The sequence below is a fragment of the Homo sapiens genome, chromosome 1, assembly GCF_000001405.40.
Source record: "Homo sapiens chromosome 1, GRCh38.p14 Primary Assembly".
NCBI classification, from domain to species: domain Eukaryota; kingdom Metazoa; phylum Chordata; class Mammalia; order Primates; family Hominidae; genus Homo; species Homo sapiens.
The window spans coordinates 38,929,090-38,947,230 of NC_000001.11; the positions used below are offsets into that span (position 1 = coordinate 38,929,090).

An 18,141-nucleotide genomic window follows, 5' to 3' on the forward strand; every position below is an offset into this window, starting at 1 on the left:
AAATAAAAATAAAAATTTAAACAAAAGAAGTGTGAATCTTCTTTTTGGTTATTTTCATCCCATCCTTTCCTGTACTCTTAGCTCCCTCTTTTTCCTCCAGCTGCCTAGACAGTCCCAGACTAGACCCTGTGAATTCCCGAACGGAAGCTGTAGAGGAAGTGGCAGGTCACTACCCCTGGGAGAAGATGGGGCTGGGAATTCCCACCATCCCCACTGCTACGACGAGGACTCTAGGTGGACACAAGCGTCCAGGACGGGAAAAGGATTTGCCTCTTTGAGAAGCCAGAGGACTAAATCAGGCTCACCTTCCCTTCTTCGCCTCACCCAGGAAGGCCCTGGCAAGGCCAACACCCTTATGACAACTCCTTTTCCATGGCAGACACTTTTAGTTGTGAGCTTGTGCCGCTTGCCTAGCTGCATTCAAACAGGGAGGTTTTAAATATCTGAATTGTTTTTTCTAAACAGCTGGCCCCACCCATTCATTGGTACCAGGCAGGCCCCTGCCGGGGCTGAGACCCGCCTTGATGTGGCTGGGGAGCTCAGGAGGCTGGGCAGCGGGCTGTGCTGGGTGTAGCCAATTGCTGCCCAGCTGGGGCTGCCAGGGAGACTTTCGGTGGTGTTGCTAGGCGCCTGGGTAATTGGAGAGGCCAGGATTGGACTTCTGGGCCACAGAGCTTAGCAGCCTCCTTCATCACACTGCAAACCATCATTATGCCAGAGGCCTGCAGCAATCTCTCTGTGGTTACAGCCTGAAAGGATGCTTTTTTAGCTACAGAAATTAAGAACTGGCTTTTCAATATTACAGGTTTGTGGTTGTGGTTGTTTTCTTTTGGCTGCATTTCTGAGGATACACTTGGAATAAATAGGCAAAAGATTTGAAAACAAAAAATGCCTTCACAAACCCCCGTTTCCAAAAGCTTTGCTTTTTGCTGAAGCAAAGCACACTTGACATCAGCAGTAAGGGCAGCTAAGGTAGAGAACTCTGCTTCCTGAGCTCTCTCCATGGTCCACTCTGCGTCAAAAGTTTCTTCCTTGAAACTTCACAGGTGGGCTATGGTTCAGGGTAGGGGGACCAGAGCCCCAGTCACATGCAGGGCCTCTCGGCGGAATAATGTCTTCAAGTCCTTCCCATTCAAAGACCATCATAATACTCAGCCTTCTCACTCTACAGAACCACTTTCGCTTTTATTATTTTCTGGATCCTCCCGTCTGCTCTGTGAAGACCTCTTTATTATTCCCATTTTACAGGTAAATAACTAGGGCAAAAAAGAGGCATCCATGATTACATACCTAGGTACAGCAAAGCTGGGGCACAAACCTGGGAATCTCAGACCAGAGTCTGGGCCGCCCCACAGCTATTTAACATATTACATATATTTGTGTACCCTATTATAGTATTTGTAATAGTAATAATAATACACAATGGTGCAGAAGACATAGGAATTTCATCCTGTATCTTGTATTATCCTAAACACATCATCTTTGTTGATGGTGATTGGGCTTTCAAAGCTGTGGTGTGCGCACTAAGGGATATAGTCTGAAAGAATTCCCAAAGACAGACACACTATTTACATGAGTTAACAGACCTAGCACACCAGAGCACAGGGCTGAAGGAAAACAGTGACCCTGAGCCACTTCCCCCTTAATTCAAGGACAGTTGGCCCAGGCCCTTAAGTAAGGAGACAAAATCATGGCTTTCAGTAGATATTTGTGGGCATTTCTCAAAAAAGGCTTTCACTGCTTCGTGTAGAATTTTTTTTTCAATAGTGGTCCACTGATAATGACCAACTGTCTGGTTTGCACAGGACTAGGAGTTTCTTGGGATGTGAGACTTTTAGTGCTAAAATCAGGGCAAGCCAAGGGTGTTGGTCACCCTGTCATGGACCACCTGCATCAGAATCATCTGGGGAGGTTAGCAGAGATGGCTGCTTCTAATCCTAGGGCACTGGTTCTTCACCCTGGCCTCACATCAGAATCATCTGAAGAGACTTAAATGTGTTTGAGTTCACCCCGGATCAACAGAAACTGGGTCTCTGGGGTGAAGGCCTGGCACTTGTATCTTTTCATGTACAGCCAAGACTGAAAACTTCTGCCCTAGAGATTTGGATTCAGAGGGTCTGGGCTCAGGTCTTGTTCAGAAATCTGCAGGCGGCCAGGCACTATGGCTCACGCCTGTAATCCTAGTACTTTGGGAGGCCGAGGTGGGCAGATCACGAGGTCAGGAGATCGAGACCATCCTGGCTAACACAGTGAAACCCCGTCTCTACTAAAAATACAAAAAATTAGCTGGGCGTGTTGGCGGGCGCCTGTAGTCACAGCTACTCGGAAGGCTGAGGCAGGAGAATGGTGTGAACCCAGGAAGGCAGAGCTTGCAGTAAGCCGAGATCACGCCACTGCACTCCAGCCTGGGTGACAGAGCGAGACTCCGTCTCAAAAAAAAAAAAGAAAAGAAAAAAGAAAAAAGAAATCTGCATGCCTTTTTAACAGCTCCCAGGGGATTCTTATATACATCATGTTTCAACTACCAGTGAATGCTTATGTGATGTGTGCATCCAGTGGTAGCATTCCCTGAATGCCTTGTATGTGTTAGGCTCTGGAAACACATGGGAAAAAAAAAAAAGAAAGAAAGAAAAGGAAACCACCTCCTGTTCTCCAGTCCCTCTCTATTCACTGGGGAATAAAGACCTATAAATTGTTCCAACATAGTATACTGTGGTTTAGATTTAAAAGTGGGTCAGCACCATCAGCATGGTTAGGGCTATTCAGTTCCCAGAAGCCAAGGATGGTAGACTAAAGACGGAGCATATAATTTGCCATTCCTCTCACTGAGAGATATGGTTTGGGTTTGTTTCTCCTCTCCTTAAGTCTGGGCCAGCCCTGTGACTGGTTTTGACCAATACTACGTGGCAGAAGCTATGCTGGATACTTTGCAGGGCCGGGCCTTAACAGCTATGTGGTCCCCACTTTTGCTCCTTTGGGAATGCTTCCTCTTTGAAGCCTAACACCATATAACCTAACACTACCTGGAGGCCACCATTCTATGAGAAAGCCCAAGGTGCCCACATGGAAAGAGAGGCCATGTAGAAGAGCACAAAAGTAGGAGTCTCTCTGAGCCTGGTCTGGCTCAGGAGGTTGCCTGATTTAAAAAAAAAAAAAGAAAAAGTCATGTGAAAATGAAATAAAGAAAAGCACCAAGGTGCCAGACCTATGAATGGAACCTTCTTGACCTACCAGCCCAGCTCATCCACCAGTTGAATACAGCTGTGAATGACCCTAGCTGATGACTACATGGAGAAGAACTGCTCAGCTGAACCCTGCCCAAATCCCTGACTTGCATAATTATGAAGAAATAAAATGGCTCTTGGTTTTTCTGTTATTTGTTTGTTTTGAGACAAGGTCTGACTCTGTCGCCCAGGCTGGAGTGCAGTGGTACGAACTCAGCTCACTGTAAGCTCCACCTCCCCAGTTCAAGGGACTCTTGTGCCTCAGCCTCCCAAGTAGCTGGGACTACAGGTGAGCGCCACCATGCCCAACTAATTTTCGCATTTTTTGTAGAGATGGGGTTTTGCCATGTTGCCGAAGCTGGTCTTGAACTCCTGAGCTCACGCGATCCACCCACCTTGGCCTCCTGAAGTGCTGGAATTACAGGCGTGAGCCACCACACCTATTCTTGTTTTGAGTCACTAAATTTTGGGGTGATCTGTTACACAGTAATAGCTACCAGCATGCCTCATCAGAACCAGAAGACAGAATGACATCTCACACCATTCTGCCTTTCTTTCCATTCACATTGTTCATCTTTGTATTCTTCCATTGAGTAGATTACTGATGTCTGACCCGAAATTACCCTCCCAAATTAGTCTTCACTCTGTTTCCACTCCTGCCTCCCTCCAACAATGAAGCAAAACAAAACCGTAAATCAGAGTGTATTAACTCTCGGCTTAAAAATCCTTCAATGGTTTCCCATTGTCTTTGGGATAGATATAGGATCCTAATGGCAAATGATAAGATCCTATATGACCTAGCTCCTACCTTCTTTGTGGAATTCACTTTCTACTACTTTCTCCCAACGACTCAGTGCTGCAGCCACAGGGACGTCTTTCTGTTCCTGGAATACACCAAATCTTCTCCTGTCTCAAGGTCTTTGTACTTGCTGTTCCTTCTACCTAGCCCTCTCCCTTCCCTACAACTCATACACACAAGGTTGGTCTTGATCCTTCATAACCTGTAGCACGTCCCTAGGAAGTCTCCCCTGCCCATGCCTTCCCGCACCCCTATATGCTCTACTACATTTCCCCACTTATATTCTCCCAGCACTTATCATTATCTAAAAATAGTTAGTTTATTTATTGTCTGTCTCTTTCTGCTAGAATATGACCTCCACAAAAGTGGAAAATATTTCTCAGCAAGTATTTGCTGAATTAACAATCCCATGAATGGAGAAGGAAGGAAAAGGGAAGTATCATGGAAAGAGCTCTGACATTGCAGGAGTCAGAAAATCCTGGTCCTTGCTCCAATTCTGCCCCTGCTTACCTACGGATAAGCTACTTCCCCTCACCTAACCAGAAACTTCATCCCCACCAGCAAACACATGGCCGGCGATGTTTATCAGTGTCATACCTCACAGGTCTTCACAATTTTTTTTTTTTTTTTTTTTGAGACAGAGTCTCGCTCTGTTGCCCAGGCTGGAGTGCAGTGGTACAATCTTGGCTCACTGCAACATCTGCCTTCTAGGTTCAAGCAATTCTCCTGCCTTAGCCTCCCAAGTAGCTGGGATTACAAGTGCCCACCACTATGCCCAGCTAATTTTTGTATTTTTAGTAGAGATGGGCTTTCACTTGTAGGCTGGGCTGGTCTCAAAATCCTGACCTCAAATGATCCACCCCCTTTGGCCTCCCAAAGAGCTGGGATTACAGGAGTTATCCACCGTGCTGTGTCCACAAGTCTTCATAAATCCCCATAAAAATTTTGAAGAATGTCAGGTGTGGTGGCTGACGCATATAATCCCAGCACTTTGGGAAACTGAGGTGGGTGGATCATTTGAGGCCAGGAGTTCAAGACCAGCCTGCCAATATGGCAAAACCCCATCTCTATGAAAAATGCAAAAAATTAGCCAGGCGTTATGGCGGGTGCCTGTAATCCCAGCTACTCAGGGGGCTGAGGCAAGAGAATCGCTTGAACTTAAGAGGCAGAGGTTGCAGTGAGTCGAGATTGTGCCACTGCACTCCAGCCTGGATGACAGAGCAAGACTGTCTCAAAAATAAATAAATAAATAAAAATAAAATGGCCCGGCAGGGTGGCTCACACTTGTAATCCCAGCACTTTGGGAGGACGAAGCCAGAAGATCGTGAGGTCAGGAGTTCGAGACCAGCCTGGCCAACATAGTGAAACCCCGTCTCTACTAAAAATACAAAAAAATTAGCCAGGAGGGGTGATGGGCACCTGTAATCCCAGCTACTCGGAGGTGGAGGTAGGAGAATCGCTTGAACCCGGGAGGTGGAGGTTGCAGTGAGCAATGCAGAGATCGCGCCACTGCATTCCAGCCTGAGTGACAGAGCAAGACTGTCTCAAAAAAAAAAAAAAAATGGCTGGGCGCGGTGGCTCACACTTATAATCCCAGCATTTTGGGGGGCCGAGGCGGGCAGATCACGAGGTCAAGAGTTTGAGACCAGCCTGGCCAACACAGTCAAACCCCGTCTCTACTAAAAATACAAAAAAATTAGCTGGGTGTGGTGGCAGGCACCTGTAATCCCAGCTATTTGAGAGACTGAGGCAGGAGAATCACTTGAACCCAGGAGACAGAAGTTGCAGTGAGCTGAGATCATGCCACTGCACTCCAGCCTGGGTGACAAAGCTAGGCTCAGTCGCAAAAAAAAAAAAAATTTTTTTAAAGAAGCTCTGTTCTGTCTCATACATTTTTAAGTTAATAACTACAATTATTTTTTACAAGTTAAAATCGGCTCCAAGATCAAATTTTTTGTCATAGTCTTTGTTAGAGACATGTTTTAAATACATTTTCATCCAAACCTTAGAGCTACAGATTTCACTTGTTCAGTTTATGGAAAATGTCTACCACATAATCCAGTTGGCAAAGCCTGTCCTCACTGTCAAACCAATTAGCCAAATCAAAGAGATTTTCTGTCCATAAGAAAATCTACCTTTATTTTTAAAAGGTTCCATAAATGCATTAATTTGCATCCCCATGACAACTGGCTCATGTCTCAATTCTAATTTTATAACACATAAATAAAGAGCTAAAGCTCTTAAGTTTAATATAGCATAATGGCTAAAACACAAATTCTAGAGGAATTCAAAGGTGTCTGAATTCAAATTCTGATTTCACCACTTGACACCTCTGTGACCTTGGGCAACTTATTAAACCTCTTTGTGCCTTGGGAGCATCATCTGTAAAAGGAGGGTGGTAAATATCTACTTTATAGATTCGGTATCAGTATTGAATTAGTTTATTATCTGTAAAATTCTTAGAAGAGTGTCTGGCACATAATTAGCATTGAGCAAATTTTTCGTTTTGTTTTGTTTTGAGACAGGGTCTCACTCTGTTACCCAGGCTGGAGTATAGTGGCATGATCTCAGCTCACTGCAACCTCTGCCTCCCGGGTTCAAGCTATCCTTCCACCTTAGCCTCCCAAGTAGCTGGGACTACAGGTGTGTACCACCACACCTGGCTAACTTTTGTATTTTTTTGTAGAGACAGGGTTTAGCCATGTCGCCCATGCTGGTCTCGAACTCCTGAGCTCAAGCGATCTGCCCACCTTGGCCCCCTGAAGTATTGAGATGACAGGTATGAGCCACCACACCCGGCCCTATTTGGGTGTTTTTTGAGACAGGGTCTTGCTTTGTTGCCCAGGCTGGAGTGCAGTGATGCAAACCCAACTCACTGAAGCCTCGACCTCTTGGGCTCAAGATATCCTCCCACCTCAGCCTCCCAAATAGCTAGGACCACAGGCACATGCCACCACGCCCAGCAAATCTTGTAGAGACGAGGTCTTGTCACATTACCCAGGCTGGATTCAAACTCCTGGGCTCAAGTGATCCTCTCACTTCGACCTTCCTAAGTGCTGGGATTGGAGGAATGAGCCACTGTGCCCAGCCTAAACAAATATTTTTATTTCTTTATTTTTATTTTATGTTTTATTTTCTGGCTTTACTTAATCAGCTTCCTCAGGTTGAATAAACAAGTATTCTTTTTTGTTTGTTGGTTTTTGGGGGTTTTTTTGAGATGGAGTCTCACTCTGTTGCCCAGGCTGGAATGCAGTGGCATGACCTTGGCTCACTCCAACCTCTGTCTCCCAGGTTCAAGCAATTCTCCTGCCTCAGCCTCCTGAGTAGCTGGGATTACAGCAGGCACATGCAACCATACCCATCTAATTTTTGGTTTTTTGCTTTTTGGGTTTTTTTTTTTTTTTCAAGATGGAGTTTTGCTCTTGTCACCCAGTTGGAGTGCAATGGCGCGATCTCAGCTCACTGCAACCTCCGCCTCCTAGGTTCAAGCAATTCTCCTGCCTCAGCCTCCCGAATAGCCGGGATTACAGATGCTGGCCACCACCCCCAGCTAATTTTTGCATTTTTAGTAGAGATGGGGTTTCACCATGTTGGCCAGGCTGGTCTGGAACTCCTGACCTCAGGTGATCCACCCACCTCAGCCTCCCAAAGTGCTGGGATTACAAGTGTGAGCCACCGTGCCCAGCAATTTTTGTATTTTTAGTAGAGACGAGGTTTCACCATGTTGGCCAGGCTGGTCTTGAACTCCTGACCTCAAGTCATCCACCCAACTCGGCCTCCCAAAGTGCTGGGATTACAGGTGTGAGCCACCATGCCTGGCCGAGTATTCTCGAGTGTTCTTTTTTTTTTTTTTGAGACAGAGTCTCACCCTGTCACCCAGGCTGGAGTGCAGTGGCACAGTCTCGGCTCACTGCATGCTCCGCCTCCCGGGTTCACACCATTCTCCTGCCTCAGCCTCCCAAGTAGCTGAGACTACAGGCACCCGCCACCACACCCAGCTAATTTTTTGTATTTTTAGTAGAGACAGGGTTTCACCATATTAGCCAGGATGTCTCAATCTCCTGACCTTGTGATCCACCCGCCTCGGCCTCTCAAAGTGCTGGGATTACAGGCGTGAGCCACCGCGCCTGGCCCCTGGCCGAGTATTCTTAAATAAAACAAATACTACGAGTCTGTAGTAGAGGCACAGCACCCTTTAGTTTCTCCTGCCTAATCTCTCTTTACTTGCTATCTCTCAGGAACACAGCATTCTCTAACTGTCCTTTTGAACAATGGACCTTGTTCAATGAATTTGGGATGGACAGAGGTGTAACTTTCTTATAAAGCCAAAGAAGAGAAACAATGAAAACAGAGTTGAAAAGGAGAACTTAAAAGAATCCAGACAAGCAGATGACTTTTAGGCAAGAGTCCCTGCAGAAGCTGAGAATCTGGAAATGGACTCTTTTAATGTTATCTGTGCCCCCGCATCCCCAGTTCCAGGACCACTGGCTAGTTTGACACACCCTCACTGGGCACACTCAGAGCTAGATATAATTCCTGGAAACCCTTCTACACCTCCATCTCTAGCTCTCTGGCATAAGAAAGCACAAGGTATTGCAAGTAGTATCCTTGAACTTATTCCAGATTATACAAAAGGAAACTATTTATAAATTTCCAAACTTTTATTAGGAGGAACAGATTCACTGTGACCCAGTATACAGCTGAGGGCAAAGTACCAGTCATCAGGAACAGGCCAACTCAAGAGATCCTTCATGAACAAACCATGCTGAAGTCTTAAAAAGGAAGACTAATTTTCATAGATAGGTGGGGACCCATCAGGCCTGAAAACCTTGGCGTCTTCATATCCTAGGCCCCTACACATCAGCCTCACTTCTGAAATGCAAATCAGGTAGTGTCATTCTCATTGCTAATTTTTTTTTTTTTGAGACAGTGTCTCACTCTGTTGCCCAGGCTGGAGTGCAGCGGCACAATCTTGACTCACTACAACCTCTGCCTCCTGGGTTCAAGCGATTCTCCTCCCTCAACCTCCAGAGTGGCTGGGACTACAGGTGCACGCCACCATGCCCAGCTAATTTTTTTTTTTTAGTAGAGGTGGGGTTTCACCATATTGGTCAGGCTGGTCTCGAACTCCTGACCTTGTGATCCGCCCGCCTCGGCCTCCCAAAGTGCTGGGATTAGAGGCGTGAGCCACCGCGCCCAGCCAAAATCTTTTCAATGGGTATCCAATGTCTTTGGTTTAAAGCCTAGATTCCTTAACGAGGCACAGAAAGACCTCATGACCTGAACCCTGCCTATTTATCCACCTTCATTTCTTTCCATTTCCCCAAATATACCCTATGCCCCAGCCACACTGAGCCCCTAGCAGTTCCAGCTCCCACTCTCCATGAGGTCTTTTCATGAGCTCCTCCCTCTGCTAGAACATCCTCCCACACTCCCCATTTGTTGTCCCAGGGAAGTATTAACACCCCCTTTAAGACTCTGTTCCTTACTATCACATTTGGGATTAAGTTAAAGAAAAGAAAAGAAAATTTTTTAATTAAAGAAAAACAAAACTAAAAGACTCTGTCCTTTACAACTCCTCTGCAAAGCCTTACTGAGCATCTACCACATGCTTAGCATTGTGTTAGGCACCGAGGATGCATGGTAGAATTAAATGCCCTTCTTAGTTCCATCAGCAACCTCTGTTTGCATCTAGAGCATCAATGTCTTCTTTGTATTATAACTGTCTCCTCTACAAGGCTGTGAGCATTCTGAGGACAGGGCTTCCGCATTATTCATCTTTGACTCCCTATTACCTAGTCCATGGAATGCATCAGTAAATATTTGTCAAATTCATTTACTCACAAAGAATTCATTGAAAATTTTTGTATCAGGAATGAATGAGGTGCTGAACGAACAGGATTATAAAACTGAATGAACAGGATCATGCTTATGATCCCTGCCCTCTTGAAACTTTGTAGTCTCAGGGGATAAACAGAGCACTTGATTTAATGAATGATGTAGGAATGAGTGAATGAGTTAACGAATCAGGGAAGGAGTCTGGATGCAGCAGCCCAGAGCAGATCTACAGGAAGTGAAAGGCCAGTGTCTAGAGAGGTAGTTGGGGAATGCTGATGCCCTTTTGGTCTTTCTTTTTTCTTTTCCTTGAGAGACAGTCTTGCTCTGTCACCCAGGCTGGAGTGCAGCGGCCTGATCTCAGCTCACGGCAGCCTTGGCGTCTCAGGCTCAAATGATCCTCCCATCTCAGCCTACAAAGTAGCTGAGATGGGCCAGGCATGGTGGCTCATGCCTGTAATCCCCACACTTTGGGAGGCCAAGGCAGGTGGATCACTCGAGTCCAGGAGTTCAAGACCATCCTGGGCAACATGATGAAACCTTGTCTCTACCAAAAATACAACAACAACAACAACAAAAGTTAGCTGGGCATGATGGTGTGCACCTATAGTCCCAGCTATTCAGGAGGCTGAGGTGAGAGAATCAACTGAGATGGGGATGCCGCCACTGCACTCCAGCCTGGGCCACAGAGTGAGGCTCCACCTCAAAAAAAAAACCAAGTAGCTGAGACTACAGGTGCACACCACCACACCAGGCTAATTTTGTTTTATTTTTTGTAGAGAAGAGGTCTCACTGTGTTGCCCAGGCCAGTCTCAAAGTCCTGGACTCAAGCAATTCTCCCACCTTGGCCTCCTAAAGTGCTGGGATTACTACGGCTGGCGTGAGCCACCGTGCCAGGACTTCTTTTTTTTTTGAGACAGGGTCTCGCTTGTTGCCCAGGCTGGCTTTGAACTCCTGGCTTCAAGCAATCCTCCTACCTCAGCCTCCCAAAATGTTGGGACTACAGGCATGAGTCACCGCCCCCAGCCTGGTCTTTCTAATACAGAGAAACTTGAAAGACAGCAAGCACCAGAGCAAAAAGCATGGAGTTTAGAGTCTGACCTAGACTTGAATTCTGGATCCATTACTTATTAGCCATGTGACCTTAGGCAAATCCCTTAACCTGTTTGTATCTTCATTTCCCCATCTATAAAATAGGGTTAATAATAATATCATAAGAGGATTATGATTAAATAAGAGAATGCATTTAAAAGCCCTTAGCCTGCATCCATAGTTTAGGAATTGGTGGTTCCCATCACTTGCTCAGTGTTGAGTGTGCAAATTCAGAAACACAGCATGTCTGGACTCAGCCCTGGTCCAGTATTTTTACCACAAACCAGCACCTGACACCTTCCCTAATCCCATGCCTATGTGGCTCTCCCTTCTTTTTTATTTTATTTTTTAAAGACAAGGCCTCACTTTATTGCCCAGGCTGGTCTCGAACTCCTGGACTCAAGGAATCCTCCCGCCTCGGCCTCCCAAATCACTGGGAGCGAGCCATGGAACCCAACCTTCCCTCTCCCTTCACCACTCCACCCGTCACTGGCCAGTTCTGTTTACACGCTGCCTACGTGCTTTCAAGGCCAGGGGTTGTCTAGCATATCTTTACAAGCCTAAGGTGAGGGAGTTGCTGGTTAGGGAGAGGCATGGCAAGAAGGCAGTCAAAGAGGAAGGGAAAAGCACAGGTGTTTAGGAAGGCTCCACAATGAGCCTGGCACCCAGCTTGGTATTCAACATGCATTGTTCCCTGTCATCTTCATAAAAATATCATTTTGAGCTGGCCGCCGTGCCTCAGTTAACTCAGGAAGCTGAGGCAAGAAGACTGCTTGAGCACAGGAGTTTGAAGTTGTAGTAAGCTATGATCAGCCACTGCACTGCAGCCTGGGCAAGGTAGCAAGACCCTGTCTCTTTAAAAAAAAATTATAGCTGAGGAAACTGAGGCTCAGGAGGTAAACAGGAGATATGGGATAAAAAGCCAAGTGTCTTTGTGACTCCAAAATAATTTTCTGCTCTGCCATGCTGCCCACCAGCTTGTAGATGACCATCAAATGTTTGAGCAATAAGTTTCAGTTTTCTTATTCCCAAGAGGAGCAGAAATTGCGCAGCCCTCCCTCCAGAGAATCCAGGTATATGCTCAAACAGTGATGAATAAACAAATGAACACTAATGAATAAATGAAAGATTGAGTGAAATCTCTCTGATACCCACACCAGGAAGAAGGAAACAAATAACTCTGGAGGAGCCGCCTTGCGGGTAGAAGTGGAGACTGTCTCCCTGGCTGTGGTCTCCAGTGTCCAGGTCAGCAAAGGGCTAGGAACTGGCTTAGTTGGAGTTAGAAAAACTTAGGAGGGTAGGGGGTGCTGGGGAGAACGTGATGGCTGGAGGGAAAGCCAGTGTGAAGGGCAGGGAAGAGGAATGGAATTACTCTGTCCTCATCCTCAGCCCTTCCCTGCCATTTCCCTCGGGAAGATAGCCCCTGACTCCTGGCCCAACATGCTGCCAACTTTTAAAATGAAAGTAGCAGGATCCAAAGCGGCCACACCAGGAGGTCACTCCAGAAGGGGGGTTACCAGCGAAGCACCCCACATGTCCCTCCTCCTTCCTGCACAGCACCCCTCGGCCCTGCACTTCCTGCTGCCGCCCCCTTGTCCTGACATAGGACTCCCTCCACTCCCTCCCAGCTCCCACATCTTACCCTGAAAGACCAAGGTAGGGGCGTCCCAGCCCACGCCCTCCGGTCCTTGCGTTCCAGGCTTCCTGGGCCAAGGGGTTGCCCGCTGCCCTGAAGATCCCGCTCTGCCAGGCGCTCCTCCGTCCCTCCCCAAACAAAAATCCTCCAGACAGGTTCCAAAGCTGCCCAGCCCAGGAGGAGGGAGGCTGAGGAAATCCCCTCCCAGCTGGGCTGGGCCGGCCTGCTTGGCAGTCTTGCTCCTGGGCTGGCCCTGGATGAATGAGTCCTCCTCTTCGCCTGCTTGGGTCTTAGCCAGGGAGCCGGTGGCAGCCTCTGCTCTTTCTCCAGGACACTGAGCTCCATTCCTCCTCCAAGTCCTGCCCTCCTGCTTCATGCCTGGGTCCCCTGCTCTCCACTCTCAGCTCTCTGACGCCTCAACCGGGTGGTCTCTATCACTCTGCATTTGGTTATGCTCCAGTCTGAAGCCAGGCCTGTACTGGGCACCAGGGTGGGTGACTTGACGATCCTCAGCAGAGATTTAGTCCACAGAAGAATTGGTGACACCATGGCCCCTGGTGAAATAGCTTTGCCAGCTCTGATTATTCATTCAAAGCATTTTGAGAATAACTGGCCTTGTGTGAGGCCCTGAGGATGAAGAGGTAGATTAACGGGGTCCCTGACCTCCTACTCTACTAGGAAGACAAAGAATGAAGCTCTAAGTAGACGCTGCTCAAGATTCAGGCAGAAGGTGGCCAGGCATGGTGTCTCACGCCTGTAATCCCAGCACTTTGGGAGGTTGAGGTGGGTGGATCACCTGAAGTCGGGAGTTCGAGACCAGCCTGATCAACATGGAGAAACCTCATCTCTACTAAAAATACAAAATTAGCTGGGCATGGTGGTGCATGCCTGTAATCCCAGCCACTCGGGAGGCTGAGGCAGGAGAATCGCTTGAACCCGGGAGGCGGAGGTTGCAGTGAGCCAAGATCACGCCATTGCACTCCAGCCTGGGCAACAACAGCGAAACTCGGTCTCAAAAAAAAAAAAAAAAAAAAATTCAGGCAGAAGGGACCAGAGAGGAATCCCCCTGTGTGGAAGTGTTCTGGAAAAGCTCCTAGATGACATGACATACAAGATGGGTTTTGAAAGGTGAACAGGGGTTTTCCAGAATTGTAAGCGGGGAGCACACAGAAGGGGAGCACAGGCTGACAGAAAAGGCCATGGGAAGGGACGGAATTCAGCAGGAACTACTCAAAGTTCAGAATTGTGAGCAGGGAGTGTCAGATCATGAAGGGCCTTGTGTGCCTTGGTAAACAGTTTGGACTGTGTCCTATAGGTTCTGGGGAGTCATAGAAAGATTGTTTGTTTGTTTGTTCGTTTGTTTGTTGCAATACAGGGTCTCTCTGGGAGGCAGAGGTTGCAGTGAGCCGAGATTGCGCCACTGCACTCTAGCCTGGGCAACAGAGTGAGACTCCATCTCAAAAAAAAAGAAAAAAGAAAAAATAGGATCTCTCTCAGTTACCCAGGCTAGAGTGCAGTGGTGCACTCATAGCTTGAAGCAGCCTTGAACTCCTGGACTCAAGTGATCCTCCCACTTCAGCTGCCTGTGTAGCTGGGACTACAGGCACCCACCACCATGGTCAGCCAGTTTTTAAATTTTTTGTAGAGATGGAATTTCACTCTGTTGCCCAGGGTGATCACGAACTCCTGGCCTCAAGAGATCCTCCCGCCTTGACTTCCCAGAGCGCTGGGATTACAGGTGGTACACCACACCCTGCTAGCTCACAGATAGGCCTTAAACAAGGGACACAAACTATCAGACTGCATTTAAAATAGATCACTGGAGCCAGGTGTGGTGGCTCACACCTGTAATCCCAGCAATTTGGGAGGTCAAGGCTGGAGGATTGCTTAGGCCCAGGAGTTCGAGACCAGCCTGAGCAACATAGTGGCACCTGTCTCTACAAAACAAATTTTTTTTAATTATCCGGGCAATGGTAGTGTGCACATGTAGTCCCAGCTATACTCCAGAGGCCGAAGTGAGAGGACAGCTTGAGCCCAAGAGGTTGAGGCTGCAATGAGCTATGATCACACCACAGCACTCTAGCCTGGATGACAGAGTGAGACCCTGTCTTAAAAAAAAAAAAATTCACTGAGACCTGCAGTGTAAAGAAGGGTTTGAAGGAGGCAAGACTAGAGGCAAGAAAACCAGTCAGGGTTGCATGAGTCAGGGCAAGTGATAATGTAGGCCTTATCAAGGCATTGGCTAGGGAGTGGGGGTGGGAGTGAGAGAAAGAGATTCAAGAGATGCTAAGGGAGTACCATTGATGGGACTTAAAGAGTAAGGGAGGAATCTAGGATGACTCGAAGATTTCCAGCTGGAATAACTAACTAGGTTGATAGTGGTGACCACAAACAAGATTGAGAAATCAGGAAGAATGGCCAGGCGCGGTGGCTCACGCCTGTAATCCCAATACTTTGGGAGGCCGAGATGGGTGGATCACTTGAGGTCAGGAGTTTGAGACAAGCCTGGCCAACATGGTGAAACCCTGTCTCTACTAAAAATACAAAAATTAGCTGGGCATGGTGGCGAATGCTTGTAATCCCAGCTACTCAGGAGGCTGAGACAGGAGAATCACTTGAACCCAGGAGGCGGAGGTTGCAGTGAGCAGAGATCACATCACTGCAGACTAGCGTGGATGACAGAGCGAGACTCTGTCTCAAAAGAAAAAGAGTTGGGTGAGGTGGCTCACGTCTGTAATCCCAGCACTTTGGGAGGCCAAGGCGGGAGGATCACAATGTCAGGAGATCAAGACCATCCTGGCTAACACGGTGAAACCCCGTCTTTACTAAAAATACAAAAATTTAGCCAGGCATGTTGGCACATGCCTGTAGTCCCAACTACTCGGGGGGCTGAGGCACTAGAATTGCTTGAACCTGGAAGGCGGAGGTTGCATTGAGCTGAGATGGCACCACTACATTACAGCCTGGGCATCAGAGCAAGACTCCGTCTCAAAAAAAAAAAAAAAATTTCAGGATCAGGAAGAAAAGCAATTTGGGGGGAAATGAATTCTGTTCTGGACCTGTTGAGTCAGAGGCACCTGCGGAGATGTTCAAGGAGTAGTTGCTCCAGGGATAGACAGGAGTTATGTATCAGTCAGGGTACCAGCAGGAAGGAGAAGGCATCTTCAGCTAGATTTGAAGATCTGGGAAGGGTAAAGGAAGTCATTAAGAGATGTTGAATATCCAGGGATGAATGACAGTGGGAAGCCTTAGGCCTGAAGGGACAAGGAGAAGATGTAACATTCACTGAATCCAGCGGGAGCTGGAGCTGTGGATAAGGGCCCCTGGCAGAGCCACAGTTGTGGAGAAGGCAGCCCCCACTGGAGCAGAATGGAAACAGAGGAAGGAATATCCCAATTACTTTAGTCTCCAGCTTCCTATTCCTGATTCCTCTCATTAGCTAAACTCAACCAGAAGCCAGAGGCCAAGGTGCCCCAAGGCACAGAACAAGGCAGAGAATGGATGGGGGGGTTGGGGGAGGAGTCAGCAAACAGTTGGAAAAAAGAGATTTAGGAGTTGCACAGAAATGACAACTCAAGCCATGGGAGTGGGTGAGGTCACTCAGGGAGAGAAATTAGAGAGAAAGAAGAGGACCTAAGACAAGACTTGAGGGAATGCTGTATGGGCAGAATGGGTGAGCTCTTCCCTCCCCATTATAAAGGGTCACAGAGAAAAGCATAACAGATTCATTACTGCACACCTGTGCAAGGGAGTCATACAAGATATTAACTCAAAGGAGGGCCAGAGGGTTGAGGTTTAAATATTCTCTTCACTGGGGAAAAGATGGATGGAGGGCTGGTTGTTGGAGTCAATTATTTTCAGGATAAATGAATAAGCCCAAAGAACAATGGTCTGGGACCAAGTTTCTCCAGGCTCTGAGGGAGGTGGCCACACAGAGTGATGGGAGAGTGAAAGAAGAAAGCAAGAAAAGGTTATCTTATTCTGCAGATGAAAATATATCAGGTCAGCTGGGCGCGGTGGCTCACACCTATAATTCCAGCAATTTGGGAGGCCAAGGCGGGCGGATTGCCTGAGCTCAAGAGTTCGAGACCAGCCTGGGCAACATGGCGAAATTCCATCTCTACTAAAAATACAAAAAAAGTTAGCCAGGCTTGGTGGCACACACCTGTAGTCCCAGCTACTTGGGAGGCTGAGGTAGGAGAATTGCTTGAACCCAGGAGGCAGAGGTTTTGGTTAGCTGAGATCACACCATTGCACTCCAGCCTGGGCAACGAGAGCGAAACTCCATCTCAAAAATAAATAATAAAAATAAATAAATTTTCATTTAGAATTTGTACACGAGGTTCATGTAAATTTCATTAATGTGAATCAGTATCCACAAATTGTATCAGTTCTGAGATATTGACAAGTTCACATTTCTTTTCTTTTTTTTTTTTTTTTTCTGTGAGACGGAGTCTCACTCTGTAGCCCAGGCTGGGGTTCAGTGGCCCAATCTCGGCTCACCGTAACCTCCACCTCCCAGGTTCAAGTGATTCTCCTGCCTCAGCCTCCCGAGTAACTGGGATTACAGGCACCCACCACCACGCCTGGCTAATTTTTGTATTTTTAGTAGAGATGAGGTTTCACTATGTTGGCCAGGCTGGTCTCGAACTCCTGACCTCAGGTGATCCACCTGCCTTGGCCTCCCAAAGTGCTGGGATTTGAGCCACCATGGCCAGCCACAAATTCACATTTCTAAGCCTGCAAAATTCGGACCTTGACCCTGAACTGTGGTGAATTCATCAAGATCATGACTCTCTGGGGCCAGAGAACCAGTCTTCTTCCTTTTCTCTTCTTTTTTTTTTTTTTTTTTGAGACGGAATCTCACTCTGTCACCCAGGCTGGAGTGCAGTAGCATGATCTCGGCTCACTGCAACCTCCACCTCCCAGGTTCAAGCAATTCTCCAGCCTCAGCCTCCCGAGTAGCTGGGATTACAGGCACATGCCACCACGCCCAGCTAATTTTTGTATTTTTTAGTAGAGACGGGGTTTTGTCATGTTGGCCAGGCTGATCTCCAACTCCTGACCTCAGGTGATCTGCCCACTTCGGCCTCCCAGAGTGCTGAGATTACAGGCGTGAGCCACCGCACCCAGCCCAGTCCTTTGCAATGCTACCCCACCCAGCACCATCCCTGTCCATCCAACCAACATCATGGCTTTTCTCATTTAAAATTTGCATTTGAAAATTCTGTAGATGGTTGTTTGGCTTTCCCCCACCCCTCCAGCAGCTCTTGGCTGCTCAGGCAAAGAACAGGAGAGTGGTAGGATTGACTTAGGTTTGGGTGCTACAGAAAGACAAGGATCAGGTATATTTCCAGCTCATCACAACCCCCTCTCTTGGAAAGCTTTCCCTACCCCATATCATCCCTCAGGACTTTACCTGCCATATATGCATTCAATGACCAGCATTGGTCACAGTGATTGGACCAAAGCAGGACATTTGACCCAGGTTAGGCCAATTAGTTTCCCTTTCCTAAAAATTTGCAACTGGGGCAGAAAAACCCTACTCTGTCTCT

General features: G+C 47.4%; 1 protein-coding gene across 2 annotated transcripts in view; it reads right to left on the reverse strand.

Annotated features, from left to right (window-relative positions):
• Window positions 1–12,741, reverse strand: part of RHBDL2 (rhomboid like 2) — a 56,024-nt gene extending 43,283 nt beyond the window's left edge. Inside the window, exon 1 of one of the 2 annotated variants that reach the window (NM_017821.5) lies at window positions 12,593–12,741. Coding sequence is in view for 1 of the 2 variants with exons in the window: in NM_001304746.2 (NP_001291675.1) it covers window positions 306–420 (115 nt within the window). In the remaining variant the exon portion in view is untranslated. Of the gene's footprint in view, window positions 1–305; window positions 431–12,592 lie in introns of those variants that run through there. The other variant, NM_001304746.2, reaches the window with a different exon arrangement.
• Between the last annotated feature and the right edge of the window lie 5,400 nt (window positions 12,742–18,141).